This window comes from Homo sapiens, chromosome 5 (assembly GCF_000001405.40).
Source record: "Homo sapiens chromosome 5, GRCh38.p14 Primary Assembly".
In the NCBI taxonomy this organism is placed as follows: domain Eukaryota; kingdom Metazoa; phylum Chordata; class Mammalia; order Primates; family Hominidae; genus Homo; species Homo sapiens.
The window spans coordinates 176,489,504-176,510,074 of NC_000005.10; the positions used below are offsets into that span (position 1 = coordinate 176,489,504).

The window sequence follows — 20,571 nt, forward strand, 5'->3', positions numbered from 1 at the left end:
CTAGACACTCCTGTTACACCTTTTCTTTCTTTTTCTTTCTTTTTTTGAAACAGAGTCTTGCTCTGTCGCTGTCACCCAGGCTAGAGTGCAGTGCCACCATCTCGACTCACTGCAACCTTCACCTCCTGGGTTCAAGCGATTCTCATACCTCAGCCTCCCAGATAGCTGGGATTACAAGCATGCGCCACCACGCCTGGCTAATTTTTGTATTTTTAGTAGAGACAGTAGAGATGGAGTCTCATTTTGTTGGCCAGGCTGATCTTGAGCTCCCGGCCTCAAGTGATCCACCTGCCTTGGCCTCCCGAAGTGCTGGGATTGCTGGCATGAGCCACCATGCCTGGCAGCTTCGGTACCTTTTCACTTTGCTCTGGCAGCCCCTAGGTTGCAAACACTGGAACCCTTTTATGTATATACCCACTTGCTTCATACCTTCACCTTTCTTCTAGCTTCCTTCATGTACCATTAAAAGAGCTCATCATTGGAAGCTACAGAGGGTCCAAGGCCAGAAAATGAGTGGGGCTCAACTGGCCGGGCTCTGTGGCTCACGCCTGTAATCCCAGCACTTTGGGAGGCTGAGGTGGGCGGATCACAACGTCAGGAGATCAAGACCATCCTGGCTAATACGGTGAAACCCTGTCTCTACTAAAAATACAAAAAATTAGCCGGGCGCGGTGGCTGGTGCCTGTAGTCCCAACTACTCAGGAGGCTGAGGCAGGAGAATGGCGTGAACCCGGGAGGCGGAGCTTGCAGTGAGCCTAGATCGCACCACTGCACTCCAGCCTGGGTGAGAGAGTGGGACTCCGTCTCAAAAAAAAAAAAAAGAAAAAGAAAAGAAAATGAGTGGGGCACAACTTCTTAGCATGTCAGGCTTGGGTTATCTGGTCCAGAGCCATGTCTAGGCTTTATGGGGAACTTAAATGTTCAAGGGCATCCAGGCCAGCAGATGGAGCTGGGATATGTAGTCTGGGCCTTCCCTGGAAGTACAGGTTCCCTGTACTTCCCTTCAAATATGGGACAGCCTTTACCCTGCCTCTAGGGAGCAGAGGCTGAAGTTGTGGGTCCAGCAGCTGCATAAGTACAAGGGTCAGATAGTACCTTTTATATTGGACCCTTGGTGTTTTATGAGGCTGTCTACTTAATGGCTTTCTTGGTTTAGCAACATTCTTCATGATCACTAATTGCTTAGTACTCTTTCCATCCCCATTTTATTTAAGAATGAACATGTAAAAATCTTTAAAATCATAATGAAAACTAAGTTGACATCTCTGTTTTTTTCTAAAAAATCAAAAAAGCTGATTGTCCTAAATTGTGTAGATCGTGGGAATATTGTGTAATGAGGAAAAAAAAATAAAGGCTTTAAGAGAGAATTCTAAAATGCTTAATTTCAAAGAAAGTAGTTAAAACATCAGTCTTCTGATGAATTTCTAACCATTCCCCCACGTATACAACTTACTACATTTTGTGCTTTTAATTCGCTCTGGAACGTTGTTGTCAATGAATTTGGTTTGATTACTCGGGAGAAATTCCAAGTAGAATTGTATACACAGGGGGAATTTGTTGGGATAATGAATTGACTCACTTTTTGTTAAGGAAAAGTATCACAGTTTAATCACCTTGTCTGTGCTGAAAACGTTTTAAGTAAATGAATATTGTTTGCTTTTCTAGGGAAAATATGCACGGCATGTATTACTAATTTTAATGCAGCTGTATCATCCAACCAGCTTGTTTAATGTTAGGTAACACATTATCCTCTGTCCTGTTGCCTTCTCTGGAAACCCAAAGGATAAATAAATGGTACTATACAAATAGGGTAGGCCCTTTAGAAACAGATGTGTGGTACCATTAGGTATGTATTCTTCACTTTACAAGAGCTGCCAGTACTCCACATCTGCCAGGGTACTGTGGAGCAGTTTTATAACTTCCTCCATGGTTGCCATCAACCATAAATCATCAAGCAAAAGGTACTTGCCCCTTTGAAGAGCAAGTAAGTCATAACCGCAACTTCAGATTTGAAGTTCCTATCCGTAAGTTGAATAGTTTGGGGTTGTGAACTCAATATTTAAAATCCCAGGAAAACAGAAAGGAGAAGGAGGGGCAAGTAGGACAACCAGAAAATGACCTCTGTTCTAGAGCACTGTCCAGTAGAACTCTCTGTGATGATAGAAACGTTCTGTATCTCCGCTGTTCAGTATGAAAGCCATTAAACACGTGGCTGTTGAGCACTTGAAATGTGGCTAGCATTACTAAGGAACTGAATTTTAATTGTATGTAATAGATTTAAATTCAGAATAGCCACATTTGACTAGTGGCTACAGTACTTAGACGGTGCCATTCTAGAGAGTCTGGGTGCATAGCCTGACACATGATCTTTTTGGATACTGTGTCTTCCCTTCCAAACCCTTCTAGCCCTAAATTGTTCTACAAAAAATACTCAGGATTTATGTAGGCCAGTGTTGGAATTTATAATCCCAGTAGTTTGCATTCTTCCTGAACAGGCAATAGAATAACACTTGCTGCTTTATGGCTTTTGAACCAGACTCTACTCTCGGATTTGATGGTCCACTCACAGACTGTTCACCTCCCTTTGTTGCCGTGCCTCTGGCTCTGTTACAGGAATCTGTACAAATTGGCCCACTCGATATGCACTGTAGTAAGCTGGATTCATGTGATATTTATTCCTTCCTCCCCAGGTTTGCTCTTCGTTTTATACGGCCTGACCCTCGCAGCCGGGTCACTGACCCCGTTGGGGACATTGTTTCATTTATGCACTCTTTTGAAGAGAAATATGGGAGGGCACACCCTGTCTTCTACCAGGGAACGTACAGCCAGGTCAGTGCCATAAACCATATAGATGCCAACTTACCGAAATGATTCTATCCTCAAAGGAGAGCACAGCCCAGCACTGATCATGTCCTTCTTGTACTCAAAAACCTTAATTAGCTCTTCACTGCTTATAGGGGTGGGTAATAAAAAAGACCAAACCTTTTAGCTGGCCCCTCTTTGATCTAATGCTGCCCTTCTTTTGAGGTCTTTTCTGCATAACTTATTTTACCATACCCTCAGTTCCAGCTGACTCATTCCCTGAACATAGTCTGTACTTGCCTACCTCTGTGCCTTTGCTTTTGCCGGTCCATCCACGTGGAATGCCTTCCTCACATTTTTGCTAATTGGAATCTTGCCAGTCCTTCAACTAGATTATGTCACGCCCCACTTACAGCTATCCCTGATTGTTGTGCCCTGTCCTGCCCTATCTCATCATCTAGAATACTAATCTTTCCCTTTGTTCTTCCATAGCTTTTAAAAATTGATAGCAATTTTATATTCTTTCCTATATCATTTGTGTTCGTGTCTAATCTCTGCTACCAGACTGAAAGCCCCTTGAAGGCAAAGCCTACATCTTCTTTGATCTCTCACAGAATTGAATAAGGACATAGACCATAGACTCAGGGTAGCACATCTCATTCAACCTCAGCCATGTAGACCTTTGACTCAAGACCTCACCATTCAGGGGAGGAAAAATTAGAGTTCTGTGGGTGTTTGGTATATCTCTAGTTTGCCAGAGAAATACATAGAATTAACACTACAGGAATAGGGAAAACTATGGGAATGCTGTGGCAATAGGCAAAAGGGGGTTCTATTATGCAGCCTCCAGAATTCCTGAATCTATCTGGAGAAAGAAAAATGCTCACCCTTGCTTCCTGCTTTCATTTTCCCACATCTGCTTTTTATCATAGTCAGTCTCCTCGCTGGCTGTTCCCACCACACTCAACAAAAACTGAGCACCTACTGTATGCCAGGCAATGTCCTCAGTGCTAGAGATACAGAGATGAGTGAGATGAGCACCTCCTGTGTACCCTCTCTGCTATGATCCTGAGGGTAGACCACCCTTGACCATGTCAGCAGTCGTACAGTGTAATGTGCTCAGGAGCACGCACATGCAGGAGCACGCACAGGAGTCTTCGGCGCTAGCCTTGTCTTTGAAAGTCTTTTACACCCTATGCTCTTTAGAATGCCTTTGGATCGTACAGTCCATCATTCCTACTCGATATGTGGCCTGGGATCAGGGTTGTCTTCGCAGTTATTTTTTACTTACAAGGATGTTGTAGCTGTGAAGTAGAAAAATTCTCACCTCCCTTTCATATGGTCAGATTCTCCTGTTTTTATCTTCCTTAGACTGTGGGTGCAGCTGACTTTTCTGTGGTTTGTTGGGAACCTGTGTTTGTAAGCCTGTCTACTCTCATGTGTCTGTTAAGTTTGAATCCTAACAACACTAAAACCTTTTCATTAAAGCTTGTTAGCGTGGAGTTTCTATAGGGAGAACAATGCCAGGGGTGTGAAGGTAGGAGCTCAGGAATTTTCTGATTTCTTGCTCACCTTTTTTCCTTATTTTTCCTTTTGTTCCTAAATACATAACTGTATCCATTAGGACCCTTAGCTTAAATATAAGCTCAAGGCACAGTCTTCTTAATAGTGAGTGACCTTCTCTTTCTCACAGGCACTTAACGATGCCAAAAGGGAGCTTCGCTTTCTTTTGGTTTATCTTCATGGAGATGATCACCAGGACTCTGATGAGTTTTGTCGGTAAGTGGATTGATTATTTTCCTTCTCTTTTCTGACTCTTTCTGGTGACAGTTTATAGTCAGCAAGTTGTTCTCATATCCTTTTCATACCTTTCCACAGCAACACACTCTGTGCACCTGAAGTTATTTCACTAATAAACACTAGGATGCTCTTCTGGGCATGCTCTACAAACAAACCTGAGGGATACAGGGGTAAGTTATGTTTCTTCTGCCTCATTGAGATTGTTGGAGTATCTTTGGAATAGTCTGGAAAGACATGCCATGCCATTTATTACAAGTGTGTTTGTTCTGTGGTAGATACGACGCTAGTTGCTATTTTATATTGTCTCATTTAATCCTCTCAGCAGTCCTGAGAGATGGGGGGTCATATTACCTTTGCTTTATGGTTTAGGAAATAGGCTCAGAGAGTTCAAGCCACTGGCTGAAGATCACACAATTAGCAAGTTTTATTTTTTTTGTTTTTATTTAATTAATTAAAAAAATTTTTTTGAGATGGAGTCTTGCTCTGTCGCCCAGGCTGGAGTGCAGTGGTGCGATCTTGGCTCACTGCAACCTCCACCTCCTGGGTTCAAGCGATTGTCCTGCCTCAGCCTCCTGAGTAGCTGGAACTACAGGCATGCACCACCACGCCCAGCTAATTTTTTTGTATTTTTAGTAGAGATGGGGTTTCACCATGTAGCCTCAAACTCCTGGACTCAAGTGAGCAGCCCACCTCAGCCTCCCAAAGTGCTGGGATTACAGGTGTGAGCCACTGTGCCCCGCCATAATTAGCAAGTTGTAGCGTACAGTCGGGTCTGCCAGATTCTAAAGCCCGTTCTTCACATTCAGCATTGCCAAAGCCTGCCACATTCATAGAAATACCCAGTCTTGGCTAGCAGCTTGCTTTTAATCTTAATGGGCTTTTTACTGAAGAGTTTATTCTTTTCATCAACGATTTTAACAGAGCCCTTGCATAGTGAGTCAGTTGTTTGAGTACCTTGAGTGCTGATATGGATTTGGAAAGTTCAGATCTTTGCTGACAATAACTCTTCTTTGGAGATAAGTATTTTTAGACGGTTAGTAAAAGATACGAAGGCATCCAGTGAGGAAAAATGTAGTCATTTTTGTGGCTACTTCTATCCAGCAACTTTTGAGTTTATATTAGCATGCCACATACTGTGCCATGTCTTGAGAACCAAAGATGTGGCAGATGTTGTCCCTGCATCCCAGAGTCTGAATCTTAAGCCTAATTGTTTTTAAACATCCAAATTCCTGCATGCGTTTTGCCATTCTAATATGGCTTTGCAGGGGGCAGAAGGGAGGTTGTGAATAGAAGGAAGGTAAGGATTTTTTTTTAATAGAAGTTTATAAAATCTCTTATTTCACACCATAAGGAAAACATAGGTAAAACTCTGTTATGGTAAAAATCTTGGTCATTTGGACACCAATTTTTTTTTTTTTTTTTTTGAGACCAAGTTTTACTCTGTCACCCAGGTTGGAGTGCAGTGGTGCGATCTCAGTTCACTGCAGCCTCCACCTCCCGGGTTCAAGCGATTCTCCTGCCTCAGCCTCTCGCCTATCTGGAATTACAGGCGCGTACCACCACACCCTGCTAATTTTTGTATTTTTTGTAGAGATGGGGTTTCATTATGTTGGCCAGGCTGGTCTCAAACCCCTGACCTCAAGTGATCCAACCACCTCCGCCTCCCAAAAGTGCTAGGATTAAAGGTGGAGCTACCAGCCCAGCCTCAACTTTCTATTAATAAGCTTCTTTGGAACAGAAAAACTAACCTTTTTAAGGGTGGAGAAAAGTTACGTGGGGAGAAAGGATAAGGAAAGGATTAGGCAAGAGAAAAAAAAATGATGATGGAGATTATTATCAGTATCATCAGGCTGAGACTTGCAGCCTTGTGCCCTTTTAGGTTTGAGCCCTTGTACAGGGAAAAACTGTGCCAGATTCTTTATAGATCCTTTTTGTACCATCAAGTAGACATTATCCTTAAACTCTGCAGCCTTCCCTGGCATCATCACAACAACCACACCGCCACCAGGAAAGCCTGTCCTATTCTAGTCAAGCACCTAGGGATAGGCATGCAAATTGATAACAAAAACAAAAGATTACAAAACTGGGAGGAACTGGGCATGGTGGCACACTCCTGTAATCCCTGCTTCTCAGGAGGCTGAGGTGGGAGGGTCACTTGAGCCCAGGAGCTGGAGACCAGCCTGAGCAACATAGTGAGACCCTGGCTCAAAAAAAGAAAAGAAAGAAACTAGGAGGCGGGGAAAAAGCGGAGACTAAATGATACCTCTCGTCTTCCCCAACCAGGATTAAAACAGTTCTCTCTCACTCATTGTGGAAAGTCTAAGGGTTGATCTTTTTCACCGTCAAGTCCTGCCCTTGATCTGTTGGGTCTTTTTATCAGTCTCACAGGCTTTACGAGAGAACACCTATCCATTCCTGGCCATGATTATGCTGAAGGATCGAAGGATGACTGTGGTGGGACGGCTAGAAGGCCTCATTCAACCTGATGACCTCATTAACCAACTGACATTTATCATGGATGCTAACCAGACTTACCTGGTGTCAGAACGCCTAGAAAGGTACAAGGGAGTTCCCTTCTGGAACAGAGAGAGACCAGTTGTAAATTTGGAGGGCTGACCTCTGGGGCTCTACCAATCCTGACTTCTTCTGTGCATCAGGCCGCTATTAGCTTTTAGCTTTGCCCATTTATTGTCAAAATATTTACATACTTTGACCTAAATTACTCTATATCAGGTAATCTGTTCTTAGAGATGTTCAAAATAAAGACAAGGGCTGGGTGCAGTGGCTAACACCTGAAATCCTAGCACGTTAGGAGGCTGAGGCAGGAGGATTACTTGAATCCAGACTGGGCAGCAAAGCGAGACCCCATCTCTACAAAAAATAAGAAAAAATTAGCTAGGCATGGTGGTACATGCCTGTAGTCCCAGGTCCTTGGGAGCCCGAGGCAGGAGGATTGCTTGAGGCCAGGAGTTCGAGGCAGCAGTGAGCTCTGATTGTGCCTCTGCACTCCAGCCTGGATGACAGAGCAGGACTCTGTCTTTAAAAAATAATAAATGAATGAATAAACAAAGACAGGCCTCTGTGCTCAAGAATGTATATTGTGGCATTTAGAATAGCTGAATATAATATAAAGAACTTCGATGTAAAAAAAAAAGTGGAATGGTTATAATTCCTCTCCATTACATAAGTTATGTACATTAATTATAGGAAATCCTAAAACCACAAAAAAGCACAAGGAAGAAATTTAAGATCACTGATAAACCTACCACCACTTGAACATTGTTATAAATTTTTTTAATTTTATACACAACACACACCCCTATATACGTACACATTTATTTGTAAAATTGGGATAATACTTTTTTACAACCCTTCTTTATGTAAGAATATATCACGGCCTTTTCCCTCATCATTAAATATTCTGCCACATTTTAAAAATTACTGCATAACATTCCATTATCTAAATACATCATAATTTAACCAGGCCACTCTCGTTGGATTTTTAGATTATTTTCGGTTTGTTACTATTATAATTAGCATATAGGGAGATAATTTTTTGCAATTTGTGATGGTTTCCTTAGATTAAAATTTAAATTCCTGGAAGTGCAGTTTCTGGGTGAGACAATCAATATAAGTATATTTTAAGGCTCTTGATTTGTAATGCCAACTTGCCCTCAAGAAAGTTAAACAAACTTAAATTTTATGGAAAGTTTTTAATAACATGGGGACATGCTTGTTACATATTAGAAAAATGCAGAATCAGGCCGAGCATGTTGGCTCATACCTGTAATCCGAGCATTTCGGGAGGCTGAGGTAAGAAGATTGCTTGAACTCAGGAGTTTGAGGTCAGCCCGGGCAACATGGTGAAACCCCATCTCTACAAAAAATACAAAAATTAGCTAGGCGTGGTGGCACACGCCTGTAAGCTGAGGTGGCAGGATTGCTTTAGCCTAGGAGGTTGAGGCTGCAGTGAGTCATGATCGCACCACTGCACTCTAGCCTGGGTGACAGGCTAGCCCTGTCTCCAAAAAAAAAGAAAAATGCAAGATCAAAATCCTGTAAATAATAGCGTTATTTTAACTGTGTAAAAAAATGTATAGAACAGGAAACTTTCCGAGGTAACTGAAATGTTCTGTCTTGATTGGAGTGGTGATTACATGGTTACATTTATCAAAATTCATTGAATTGTACATTTAAGATCTGTGCATTTCACTGCATGTAAATTTTATCTTAATTTTTAAAGATAAAATCTGTTCAACTATTTTGATTGGCTAAATATTTTGGCTAAGAGAAAACAGAAATTTGTTGGAGAGAAAATAGGAGATATGCCAAATGTTATAATGTTTTATCTTTGATTAGTGATTCTCTGAATGACTCTGAAAACTCTACATTTTCAGATCTGCTACAATGTGTGTATGGATATATATGTGTGTGTTTTGGTTTTATGAGATCAGTACAAAAATGCAGTCACCCAAAATGGTATTTACTTGTAAAATATGATATTGATGATCCCTTCATAATAACAGTACTGTGTCACATTTGTTAGAATTAGGGGAAAAGTTTTATTTTAAAAGAGGAGAGGAAAGCTTGCTGTTTCCTTTTCTGCCAAATTAAACTGAGAAAAAAGGTGGCTTATTCAGATTCTGCCACGCTCTGCTTTTGGAATCCCTTATGGCAGTGTGAAATCGTCATCTGCTAAGAATATCAACATTTTTACACACACACACACACAGAAGATTTCAATATAAGAAAACACAGAACTTTGTGAGAGTGCTGTTTTTCTTCTCTTGCTTTTGATCTATTCACAGGGAAGAAAGAAACCAGACCCAAGTGCTGAGACAACAGCAGGATGAGGCCTACCTGGCCTCTCTCAGAGCTGACCAGGAGAAAGAAAGAAAGAAACGGGAGGAGCGGGAGCGTAAGCGGCGGAAGGAGGAGGAGGTGCAACAGCAAAAGTTGGCAGAGGAGAGACGGCGGCAGGTAATGGACGTGTGGCTTTACTCCCTGTGGTTCCCAAACTGCCGAGACTTTGCCATCTTGGTCTTAAGTGTGAAAGGAAAAAATGATAGCCACCTTAAACAGACTAAGAGGGAAAAAAAAAAAGGAAAAAGGAAAGAAAAAATTACAACATGTTGGAATTAGGGGTGATTTAAATTTTTCATACCATTTAAATATTCATTCTTTTTTAAATAAAAATTTAAAAAAAGAGACGGGCTTTGCCATATTGGCCAGGCTGCTCTCGAACTCCTGACCTCACATGATCTGCCTGTCTTGGCCTTCCAAAGTGTTGGGATTACAGGCGTGAGCCACCATGCCTGGCCCTAAATATTCATTCTTAATACCAGTATTAGCTGATTTGGCATTTTACTCATTATCTTTTTGTTTTTGTTTTGTTTTGTTTTGTTGTTGTTTTTGTTCCCTAGCAATCAGACTGAGATATACATTATCTTATTTGATTATGTATTACCGCTTACCTATAACCAGTGTCTTTTAGTCATTTCCTTTTATTTCTTTTTTTTTTTTAAGAGACAGGGTCTCACTGTGTTGCCCAGGCTGGCGTGCAGTGGCTATTCACCAGTGCAATCATGGAGCACTACACCCTGAAACTCTTGGGCTTAAGAAGTCCTGCTGTGGCCTCTGAAGTAGCTGGAACTACAGGCACATACCATGGCACCCTGCTCCCTTTCTCCTTTTTCTCAAATAAATACCTAGACATAATAAAGAATACATGAGATGCAATTGTACTTTAAATTTAGGTTGTTTTTGACTATTCCTGAGAGGTTTTTCTTAGAATACTTAGTCATTAATTTTTCTTCTGACGACTGCGTAATAAAGCTACATGGTCATTGTATTTATTTCTTGAGCTGTAGCCTCACCTTTGCTTTGTGTCTCTGCAGAATTTACAGGAGGAAAAGGAAAGGAAGTTGGAATGCCTGCCCCCTGAACCTTCCCCTGATGACCCTGAAAGTGTCAAGATCATCTTCAAATTACCTAATGATTCTCGAGTAGAGAGACGATTCCACTTTTCACAGTCTCTAACAGTAAGGACCACCTAAGTTCTGTGAAGTGTATGTAGCATCTGGGCTATAGATTTGGAGCTTTTACTGACTCTTGAGAGTGGTGTTGGTGTATCTGCTGCTCTGATGAACAGGGAACAGAGAGAGAGAGAGAGAGATGGGTATGCCATCCGTGGACACCAGGAAGAGTACCGAGGACTGCTGTAGGCTCCTTCAGTTCTAGTTTCCAACTCAAAGCAATTTTTAAGTTTTTGTTTAATTATGTTTCGGCTCTGCTAAGAAAAAAAGGTACCTTACATAAGTCCCTCAAAAGACTTGTGTGTTTGAAGATGGGAGGCTCTTCCATGCTGTCTTCCTGCATTGGCTTCAGAATCCCACCAGAACCCCTGCTCTGTAGGAAAAGCTCTGTCTCCAGTGACCTAAAAGCACTGAAGTGACATATCTGAATATAAGTGCACTTGCAGTTTGGATGCAGTTGTCTCTCTCTTTCTACTCAGCCCAAAGGAAGCCCCATTTTCTGAGGCTACTTTATGTATATGATAGCCATGTGATAGTGTTTGTCATTTCCACATGGAAGTCATTAAAAGCAGAAACTCAAGAGCCTCACAGCATGAGGATCAAATTTTCATTCTTCCAGGGTTACTAGATGTGTTTCCTTAGTCAGTTTATTTAATTTCTAAGCCTCAATTTCTTCATCTGTAAAATGGGTTTAATAATAAGCACGGCTGGGCCCCGTGCTCATGCCTGTAATCCCAGCACTTTGAGAGGCCGAGGTAGGTGGATCATTTGAGGTCAGGAGTTTGAGACCAGCCTGGCCAACATGGTGAAACCTCGTCTCTACTAAAAATACAAAAATTAGCTGGGCGTGGTGGCACGTGCCTGTAATCCCAGCTACTCGGGAGGCTGAGGCAGGAGAATCACTTGAACCCGGGAGACGGAGGTAGCAGTGAGCCAAGATTGCAGCACTGCACTCCAGCCCGGGCAACAGAGACCCTGTAAAAAAAAAAAATAAATAATAATAATAATAGGCACTCCCTAGTAGGATTGTTGTTAGAATTAAATTCTTAACATTGTGCCTGGCTCCTAGTAAGTGCTTAAATACTAACTACTATTTTTGGTATTTGTAACCAAAAGAAAATTTATTTAAACTGAGAGTCAGTATGTTGCCTTTGCAAATTTATAGCTATAGTGGATTCTGCAGTTTCCCTGATCGCTCAGAATAATCAAGGGTAAACCTCATAATTAAAAGAGGATGCACTGTAGTCAGGTGAGGCTGGTTAGTACATTCATTGCTTCTGCCTGTTTAACTGGACAACATTGGGCAAGTTGCAAAATTCTACAGGGCCTCAGATTTCCCATTAGTGAACTAGAACTGTAATCTGCCCTCTGATAAGTTTAAACTGAACATAGGTATGTCATGCAGTGAGCCAGATACTCTAGGGATCATTTAGATGAGTGAGACATGGTTTTGGAATTCATGGAGCTTATTGGCCAGTACAGAATGTAAGACTCAGAGAACTAATACAGAATTAAAGTTATGAAACATTTTGTTAAGAGAGAAGCAAATAGCTTCCTTGTTTTATTTCTCTCTCATTTATGCATTTATTTATATTGGGGGAAGTGCTTATGTCTCTAACTTTGTTTGTTTTGAGACAGAGTTTCGCCTTGTCACCCTAGCTGGATTGCAGTGGCACTGTCGCAGCTCGCTGCAACCTCTGCCTCCTGGGTTCAAGCAATTCTCCTGCCTCAGCCTCCCGAGTAGCTGAGATTACAGGAAGCCGCCACCATGCCTGGCTAATTTTTGTATTTTTTTTAGTAGAGATGGGGTTTCACCATGTTGGTCAGGCCGGTCTCGAACTCCTAACCTCAAGTGATCCACCCACCTCGGCCTCCCAAAGTGTTGGGATTATAGGCGTGAGCCACTGCACCTGGCCCCATGTCTCTAACTTTGGATTTTTAAATTGAGATAATGTGGATGCGCCTCACACAGTATCCACCATGTAGTAGGTGGTTATTAGCGTTAATTTCCTTCCCCTGGTGTCCCATTTCTTAACTATGGGTTTGTGTATGTATTTTAGCTTTCATGTTCACTAGCAATTTTGCTATTGTACACACGAATTACATGGAATTTCTACCCTAAAAATTCTGATAGATAAAACTATATATGAAAAACCTAGGCCAGGCGTTGTGGCTCACGCCTATAATCCCAGCACTTTGGGAGGCCGAGGCAGGCGGATCACCTGAGGTCGGGAGTTCAAGACCAGCCTGACCAAAATGGAGAAACCCTGTCTCTACTAAAAATACAAAATTAGCTGGGTGTGGTGGCATGTGCCTGTAATCTCAGCGACTTGGGAGGCTGAGGCAGGAGAAACGCTTGAGCCCAGGAGGCAGAGGTTGCGGTGAGCCGAGATCATGCCATTGCACTCCAGCCTGGGCAACAAGTGTGAAACTCTGGCTCAAAAAAAAAAGAATGAAAAACCTAACAAAAATTTACTCTCCTGAGAGTTTTGGAGGAAAAATCTGTTAGAACTGTGGAACAGAATAGGCTTGTGGCCAAAAGGGAACCAACCATTCATTAACTATTTGATCCTTGAAGACTTTTAAATGGGTTCCTCACTAAAAGCTGTTTTTTAAAAAAGAGTATCGGCTGGGCGTGGTGGCTCATGCCTGTAATCCCAGCACTTTGGGGGGCCGAGGCAGGCGGATCACAAGGTCAGGAGTTCCAAACCAGCCTGGCCAATATGGTGAAACGCCGTCTTTACTAAAAGTACAAAAATTAGCTGGGTGTGGTGGCGAGTGCCAGTAGTCCCAGCTACTCGGGAGGCTGAGGCAGGAGAATTGCTTGAACCCGGGAGGCAGTGGTTGCAGTGGACCGAGACTGCGCCATTGCACTCCAGCCTGGGCGACAGAGCGAGGCTGTGTCTCAAAAAAAAAATGAATAAAATAAATAAAAATAAAAAAGAGTATCATGGCCACATGAGATTAGTCTAAGAGAAATGCTTGGTCATAAATGGGTCTTAGAGATGGAAAGAAGTGTGTAATGTAGCAGTGCCCTGGTGGTGCTGGCCTGGAATTTAACATTCACAGAGATAATTACATAAAACCAAATAATGCTGTAGTGTTTTTTAGTACCCTTAAAGACCTTGTGTCGGCCGGGTGCAGTGGCTCATGCCTGTAATCCCAGCACTTTGGGAGGCTGAGGTGGGCGGATCACCAGGGGTCAGGAGTTTGAGAGCAGCCTGGCCAACATGGTGAAACCCCATCTCTACTAAAAATACAAAAATTAGCCAGGCATGATGGCGTGGGCCTGTAATCCCAGCTACTCAGGAGGCTGAGGCTGCAGAATCGCTTGAACCTGGGAGGCGGAGGTTGCAGTGAATGGAGATCGTGCTATTGCACTCCAGCCTGAGTGAAAAAAGCAAAATTCTGTCTCAAAAAAAAAAAAAAAAAGACCTTGTATCACCTTCCTGTGAACTTGGTCCTTTGTAAATAATCTCCAGGAGTGACAGATTTGTAGGTAATGCTCAGCTCTGGAAAGTGGTGCAATGCTAAGATAAAAGGGGTACGCTGCAGAAAAATCTCCAGGTCCCATGAGTGGTCATAAAAGAGGCAGCTGACTTTGTTTTAAACAAATGTATAAGAGATAAAGCCCAGAACTAATTTTTCTGTCCATTGCAAACCAAAAGGGACCTCTAGTAGTAATGTAATCTGTTTCCTGATGGTTATCAACCCTTTGCCATTAGTAATAAAAAATGCCGGCCGAGTGCGGTGGCTCATGCCTGTAATACCAGCACTTTGGGATGCCAAGGCAGGCGGATCACTTAAGGCCAGGAGTTCGAGACCAGCCTGGCCAACATGGTGAAATCCAGTCTCTACTGAAAATACAAAAATACAGAATGGCTTGAACCTGGGAGGCGGAGGTTACAGTAAGCCGAGATCGTGCCACTGTACTCCAGCCTGGGCGACAGAGTGAGACTCCATCTCAAAAAAAAAGAAAAACAAAAGCCAAGTTTGTACAAGTGTTAGGTATTCTCAAGCAGAGATTAAAAAGAAATCAGAAAGTATTTTTTTGGCCAGGCATGGTGGTTCACGCCTCTAATCCCAGGACTTTGGGAGGCCGAGACGGGTGGGTCACCTGAGGTCAGGAGTTCGAGACCAGCCTAATGAAACCCTGTCTCTGGCCGGGCTTGGTGGCTCACGCCCATAGTCCCAGCCTACTTTGGGAGGCCAAGGTGGGTAGATCACGAAGTCAGGAGTTCGAGACCAGCCTGGCCAACATGGTGAAACCCCATCTCTACAAAAAACACAAAAATTAGCTGGGCATGGTGGTGCGCGCCTGTAGTCACTGCTGCTTGGGAGGCTGAGGCAGGAAAATCGCTTGAGCCCAGGAGGCAGAAGTTGCAGTGAGCCGAGATCCTGCCACTGCACTCCAACCTGGGCAACAGAGCAAGACTCCATCTCAAAAAAAAAAGGTATTTTTTTCACTCATATTGGTTTCATACCAAGAATACTTGGTGTAAGTCTAATTGATGCATGTTAAGAAAGAGTGAACATTAATGGGAATTGCAAAGAGAGAAGGAAACTGAAAACGAGTTAGGTTGATAGACTAAAATATGAGAAGTTTATAAAATCATGAATGGATTAGACAAGAGGAACATGGATTTACTATTTAAATTCTGGATTATAGCCCTTTAAAAATCCCTGAAGAGGGCAACATGGCAAGGCTCTGTCTCTACAAAAAATTTTAAAAGTTAACCAGGCATGGTGTTGGACATGTGTTATCCCACTTACTTGGGAGGCTGAGGCAGGAGGATTGCTTGAACCTGGGAGGTCGAGGCTGCAGTGAGTCGTGTTTGCACCACTGCACTCCAGCCTGGGCGACAGAGCAAGACCTGTCTGGGAAAAAAAAAAAAAAAAAAGTTCCCTAGAGCAGTAAGTTTAAGAAATGAAGGACTGCTTTACACAGAGGGGTATAAAACCCAGAGAATTCATCATTTTGAGAGATGTATCAAAAAGAAAATGGAATAGATTCCTCCCAAAAAGGAAAAATAACTTGAATGGTATGTTCGTCATCTTTGGGGTTGATCTGAATGAGGTTGGCAGAATTGTTGTTAGAAGTAGAATGCTAGATGGAGAGGCCACAGAGCAGGGACAGGGAGAGATGACAGTGGCCTGTTCCACAGGCATCTCACACACAGTTTAAGTTTTAGCATCCTGGACTCTCCTAATACTGCCTCCCTTCTCACTAAGGATTTTAACTGTGCCTTGTCAGAGCCAGAGCAGGGTAAGGAGGGCATTCCCACAGACAGGAGATTCATATGAGGTGCAACACATTTATTGTATTGTATTTTTTTGTCCATAGGTTATTGGGGAACAGGTGGTGTTTGGTTACATGAGTCAGTTCTTTAGTGGTGATTTGTGAGATTTTGGTGCACCCATCACCCGAGCAGTATACACTATACCCTATTTGTAGTCTTTTATCCCTCACCCCTTCCCACTCTTCCACACAAGTCCCCAAAGTCCATTGTATCATTCTTTTGCCTTTGCGTCCTCATAGCTTAGCTCCCACATATCAGTGAGGACATATAATGTTTGATTTTCCATTTCTACTTACTTCGCTTAGAATAATAGTCTCCACTCTCATCAAGGTCGCTGTGAATGCCATTAATTCATTCCTTTTTATGGCTGAGAAGTATTCCATCATATATATATATCACAGTTTCTTTATCCACACGTTGATTGATGGGCTTAAAACTGGATCCTTGGCTGGGCACGGTGGCTCACGCCTGTAATCTCAGCACTTTACGCCTGTAATCCCAGCACTTTGGGAGGCCGAGACGGGAGGATCACAAGGTCAGAAGATCGAGACCATCCTGGCTAACACGGTGAAACCCCATCTCTGCTAAAAATACGAAAAAATTAGCCAGGCGTGGTGGCGGGCGCTTGCACTCCCAGCTACTCAGGAGGCTGAGGCAGGAGAATAGCGTGAACCTGGGAGGCGGAGCTTGTGGTGAGCTGAGATGGCGCCATTGCACTCCATTCAGCCTGGGCAACAGAGCGAGACTCTCTCAAAAAAAAAAAAAACAAAAAAAAAAAACTGGATCCCTTTGCTATTATATAAAAGATAATTGGCAAAACTTGAATAGGGCCTGAATAATAATATGTTATAGAAATAATGTGTCAGTTACATTTCCTGATTTTGAGAGCCAAGTTGTGGTTATATAGAAGATTGTCCTATTAGTCCGTGATCACCTCAGAATACTTGAGGCCATGTGTCTTACAGTTAGCACTTCACTCTCAACTGAGTTAAAGAAAAAAATTAAGTGTCCTATACTTCCAACTTTTCTGTAACTTTGTGATTATTTCTAAGTTAGCATTTTATCAGACACCTCAAAGAAGAGACAGATTAATTCAGAGTAGGACTAGTGTTGGGCTTGTGTAATTTCTTTTAAAAGGGCTGCCCCATGTATATGCCATGGGAAATGAAAAGATTAGAATTCCAGTGTAATGTGATTCTTTCCTATAGAGTCATCCTGGGGAGAGTTGGGGTATATTTGACTTCAGAGTTGTGTGTGCGTGTGTGCGTGTGTGTGTGTGTATTTCTGTTTTTCTCACCACCCTTCTTTTTCTATATGACCTCTGCAGGTAATCCACGACTTCTTATTCTCCTTGAAGGAAAGCCCAGAAAAGTTTCAGATTGAAGCCAATTTTCCCAGGCGAGTGCTGCCCTGCATCCCTTCAGAGGAGTGGCCCAATCCCCCTACGCTACAGGAGGCCGGACTCAGCCACACAGAAGTTCTTTTTGTTCAGGACCTAACTGACGAATGACATTTTTTTCTTCCTGTCCCCTCCTACCCCAGTCCCTAAAAGAAATGGGGAAAAAAGAAAACAACAGCAAGTCAGAAAAAAAAAACAAGAGAGAGAAATTCATATTATTATTATTATTATAATACAATATTTTTTTTAAAAGACTGCTGCATCCTTAGGAAGGATCAGAAACCATGCTGCCCGTAAGAGTCACAACCTGTGTGTGCGCGCAAGGTTAGCAACAAACGTACCCGCTTGGCAAGCCCACCCTTCCTGTGGCCTCTGTGCACGCACCTTCCAGTGAACAGAGACTCTTCACCTTCGACCCATCCATTGTCCCAGCTGGGAAGGGGACATTCCCACTAGTTCTCATTCATTCTTGCTTTTATGAAAAATAAAAGTGAAAAACCTCCATCAACCAGCTACTTGCAGCATCTCCTGAGGACTTGCTTCTCCTGCCTCTGGGGAAGAGAGGGAAGAGAAAGCACAGAGCAGAGAAGCAGAGATGTTCCTTGAACTGCCCACAAGTTTTCAATAACTTTTATTTCTGTTTTGTAATGACCAAAGGAATGAGGCTGACATAGGTATATATATATATTTTTTTCCTTTATTTGATAAAGAGCCAATTCTTTAAACCCATGAGTTTATGCCCTGGGCTCCTTAGCCCACAATAGTGTAATAAAAGTGCCCCGGGCTGGTTTGTGCTTATTTCTGCCATTGTCCCTCTCACGTTCCCAGAGAGGTCATTCTTTTTGGTCCAACTCTTGCTGTCCTTTCTTACCACCTGTGCACCCCACTTGGAGCAGTGGGAGGAAATCTGGGTTTGTGGCCCCACAAAGGCTGTATATGTAAAGATACACCTATGTATGTGGTGGAACTCACCTTTACACACAACTGCAGCTTTTCCTTGGAGTCTGTACCAGGTGGTGGTTATGGGGTCTGAACCAAAGGATAGCAGCTCTTCATTCCTCTTCTGACATGTGCATGCTGCTCCCCCCAGCCCTGGGCTTTCCTGAATTGCCAAGCCTGGTGCCTTTCCAAAGGACTAGCAGGGCCTGTGGTGGAGCCAGCAGAACCACAGGAGAGTGCCCTGCCTGTCTCAGTGGAAGTGTATTATTGTTTTAAGGATAGAACCAGAGGCCTTGAAGGGAGCCAAGACAGAACTCCCAGCCTGTGTAATCTATTGGAAGGCACATTTTCATTTCTGATGCAGCCACCTTCTGGAGGCAGCTTTTATCCTTTCTCTCTATTGCTATGTTGAAGTAATAGGGTTTTTTTTAACCTCTGGATGTCTCGTCTGTGGTTGAGTTTATGGTAATGGGTACATGGGTCAGGCCATGTATTAACAGATGCCAGTGCGCTCTGACAAGTATTCCAAAGTGTTCTGTAGCTAGACTGGTGCAGGCTCGTTGTACCACTGCAACCGACTGACGTTACTGTAGTTCCTAGAATGCTGTGAGGGCGGGGGGTTCAGATCAACATAAAGCCTAACTTGCTGGAGTTGTAGTCTCAAGGCTTTCTCTCTTGCTTAACTAAAACCTAAGGACCACTGTTTTTGGTAGCAATTATATGGTTACTATCCACTGCAGTCCTCAGTTGTTGGGGTAAATCCCACATGGCAGAGTAAGGCACCCCACAGAAATTAACTTGGAGAGCCTGAGAAATTCCCAGTGGCCTTGGCATAGCTGTCTAGAACACCATCTCTAGGAAAATTTAATTCTGTCCCTGGCCAGCTATTGTTCTTCCACTTCGTTTTCTGCTGTCCCAAGGCCAGATGAGTGGAATCACCATCTGACTGCTGTCAATAAAATGTATCTGGCGTGAACAGCAGGATAACCCATGTTCTCCACATAAGGATAACCTTACGTGAAACCTTCCTGCTGACAACCATGCAGAGGAATTTTTCCACTTAAGTCAGAGCCTTCCTCCCCATCTGGAATTCACAGCTGTTCCCTGGCAGCACACAGGAGGGTATTAAGGACCTTTGTGAGGCTAGGTACACTGTCCACACCTCTTTGGGGAAGTTACGATTTTTTTTTTCCATCATAATTCAGTCTCTTCTTATTCTACAGTGTGCACTTTATGCCTCTCGCCTTTTGATAATAGTTGTTCAGTGAAGGAAGTCAGCTGCCAGAATATTAAGAAGGGTCTCCCTTTATGTCAGTACAACTGTTAGGGCGGCCTTCCCATTTACTTTAGGTTTCAAGAGGATTCACCGGAAGCACATGCCCCGGTCTAGTCCCATTTGAAACAGTTCTGCTTTACTGAGACCCTAGGCCGGTCTCCTTGCTGACCCTAGCGCTGCTGCCTAGGTGCCATTTCCTTTCCTCCTCAGTCAAATACAGGCTGCACATTTTGTCACTTAATGCCAGTACAATCTGTGTTACTCCTAAGGACTTTTGGGATTTTGATGAGACCTGCGAGGGAGAAGACACTGAGAAGCCAGTGATCTGCAAGCATTTGCTCTTGTTTCCACATCACCTCTGGGATATTTCAGCTGTTGTTTCCAAATGGCAAATCATCAACTAAAAGCACTTGTTTCAAGTTTTGTTCTGCACTCCCACGACTGAAGTTGTAGATTGAGCTGAATAACCATGGGAAGTGACCAAGCAAAGACACTCGATTGGAGTCAGTTGAATATTTGTACCCTCAGTGGAGCCCTTCTGGTCTTTTCTTCCACTTCTGCAGAATTTCCTCTAGCAAATACTTCTTTCTCCTTGCTTGCCTCCACCATGATATTTGAATAAGAGATGGCCAGAGGATAACACTTGTCTCTTAAAAACTAAGCTAAAAAGAACCTAGAACCTTCAATTGAGCAGTTGTGAAAATTGCTAATGGTGCCAAGGCCAAGCAAAGAGTTTCAGAAAATGACTGAGAAGGAGCGATAACCCCCAGAATGCAAAATCAGGGGCATCATTATCCGGTGCTTGAACAAGGAGCTCCGCTCTACAACTGGTTTTTTTAGGACTTGTGAGGAACACAGCAACGGAAATCCATCCACAAAGGATGCAGTGCCCCAACTTGTACTGCGCCTGAATAGTCATGTGATAATTTACTGAAGAAATCTAGTGTACTTTAAATTTTTTTCATAAAAGTTTACATTGTATTGTAGGTTAACATTAAATGTTTTATAGCAAAAACTTCA

General features: G+C 42.9%; 1 protein-coding gene across 2 annotated transcripts in view, besides 2 other annotated features; it reads left to right on the plus strand.

Moving 5' to 3' along the window:
- Positions 1 to 20,571, plus strand: part of FAF2 (Fas associated factor family member 2) — a 61,690-nt gene extending 41,119 nt beyond the window's left edge. For both annotated transcript variants that reach the window (NM_014613.3, XM_011534475.4), the window contains 7 exons: positions 2,691 to 2,829; positions 4,496 to 4,581; positions 4,681 to 4,772; positions 6,983 to 7,160; positions 9,411 to 9,582; positions 10,500 to 10,643; positions 17,265 to 20,571. In NM_014613.3, coding sequence (NP_055428.1) covers positions 2,691 to 2,829; positions 4,496 to 4,581; positions 4,681 to 4,772; positions 6,983 to 7,160; positions 9,411 to 9,582; positions 10,500 to 10,643; positions 17,265 to 17,447 — 994 coding nt within the window. In that variant the 3' untranslated portion in view covers positions 17,448 to 20,571. The remainder of the gene's footprint in view (positions 1 to 2,690; positions 2,830 to 4,495; positions 4,582 to 4,680; positions 4,773 to 6,982; positions 7,161 to 9,410; positions 9,583 to 10,499; positions 10,644 to 17,264) is intronic.
- Positions 2,464 to 3,663: an enhancer, noted in NCBI's record as "CDK7 strongly-dependent group 2 enhancer chr5:175918968-175920167 (GRCh37/hg19 assembly coordinates)". NCBI's record gives its function as "activates an origin of replication core promoter dependent on BRD2, BRD4, P300/CBP, MED14 and CDK7 cofactors, with strong dependence on CDK7, by STARR-seq in HCT116 cells {active_cell/tissue: HCT116}" and the evidence as "EXISTENCE:reporter gene assay evidence [ECO:0000049][PMID:35650434]".
- Positions 18,572 to 18,772: a silencer, noted in NCBI's record as "peak5588 fragment used in MPRA reporter construct". NCBI's record gives its function as "represses an SCP1 promoter by STARR-seq MPRAs in K562 erythroleukemia cells {active_cell/tissue: K562}" and the evidence as "EXISTENCE:reporter gene assay evidence [ECO:0000049][PMID:32103011]".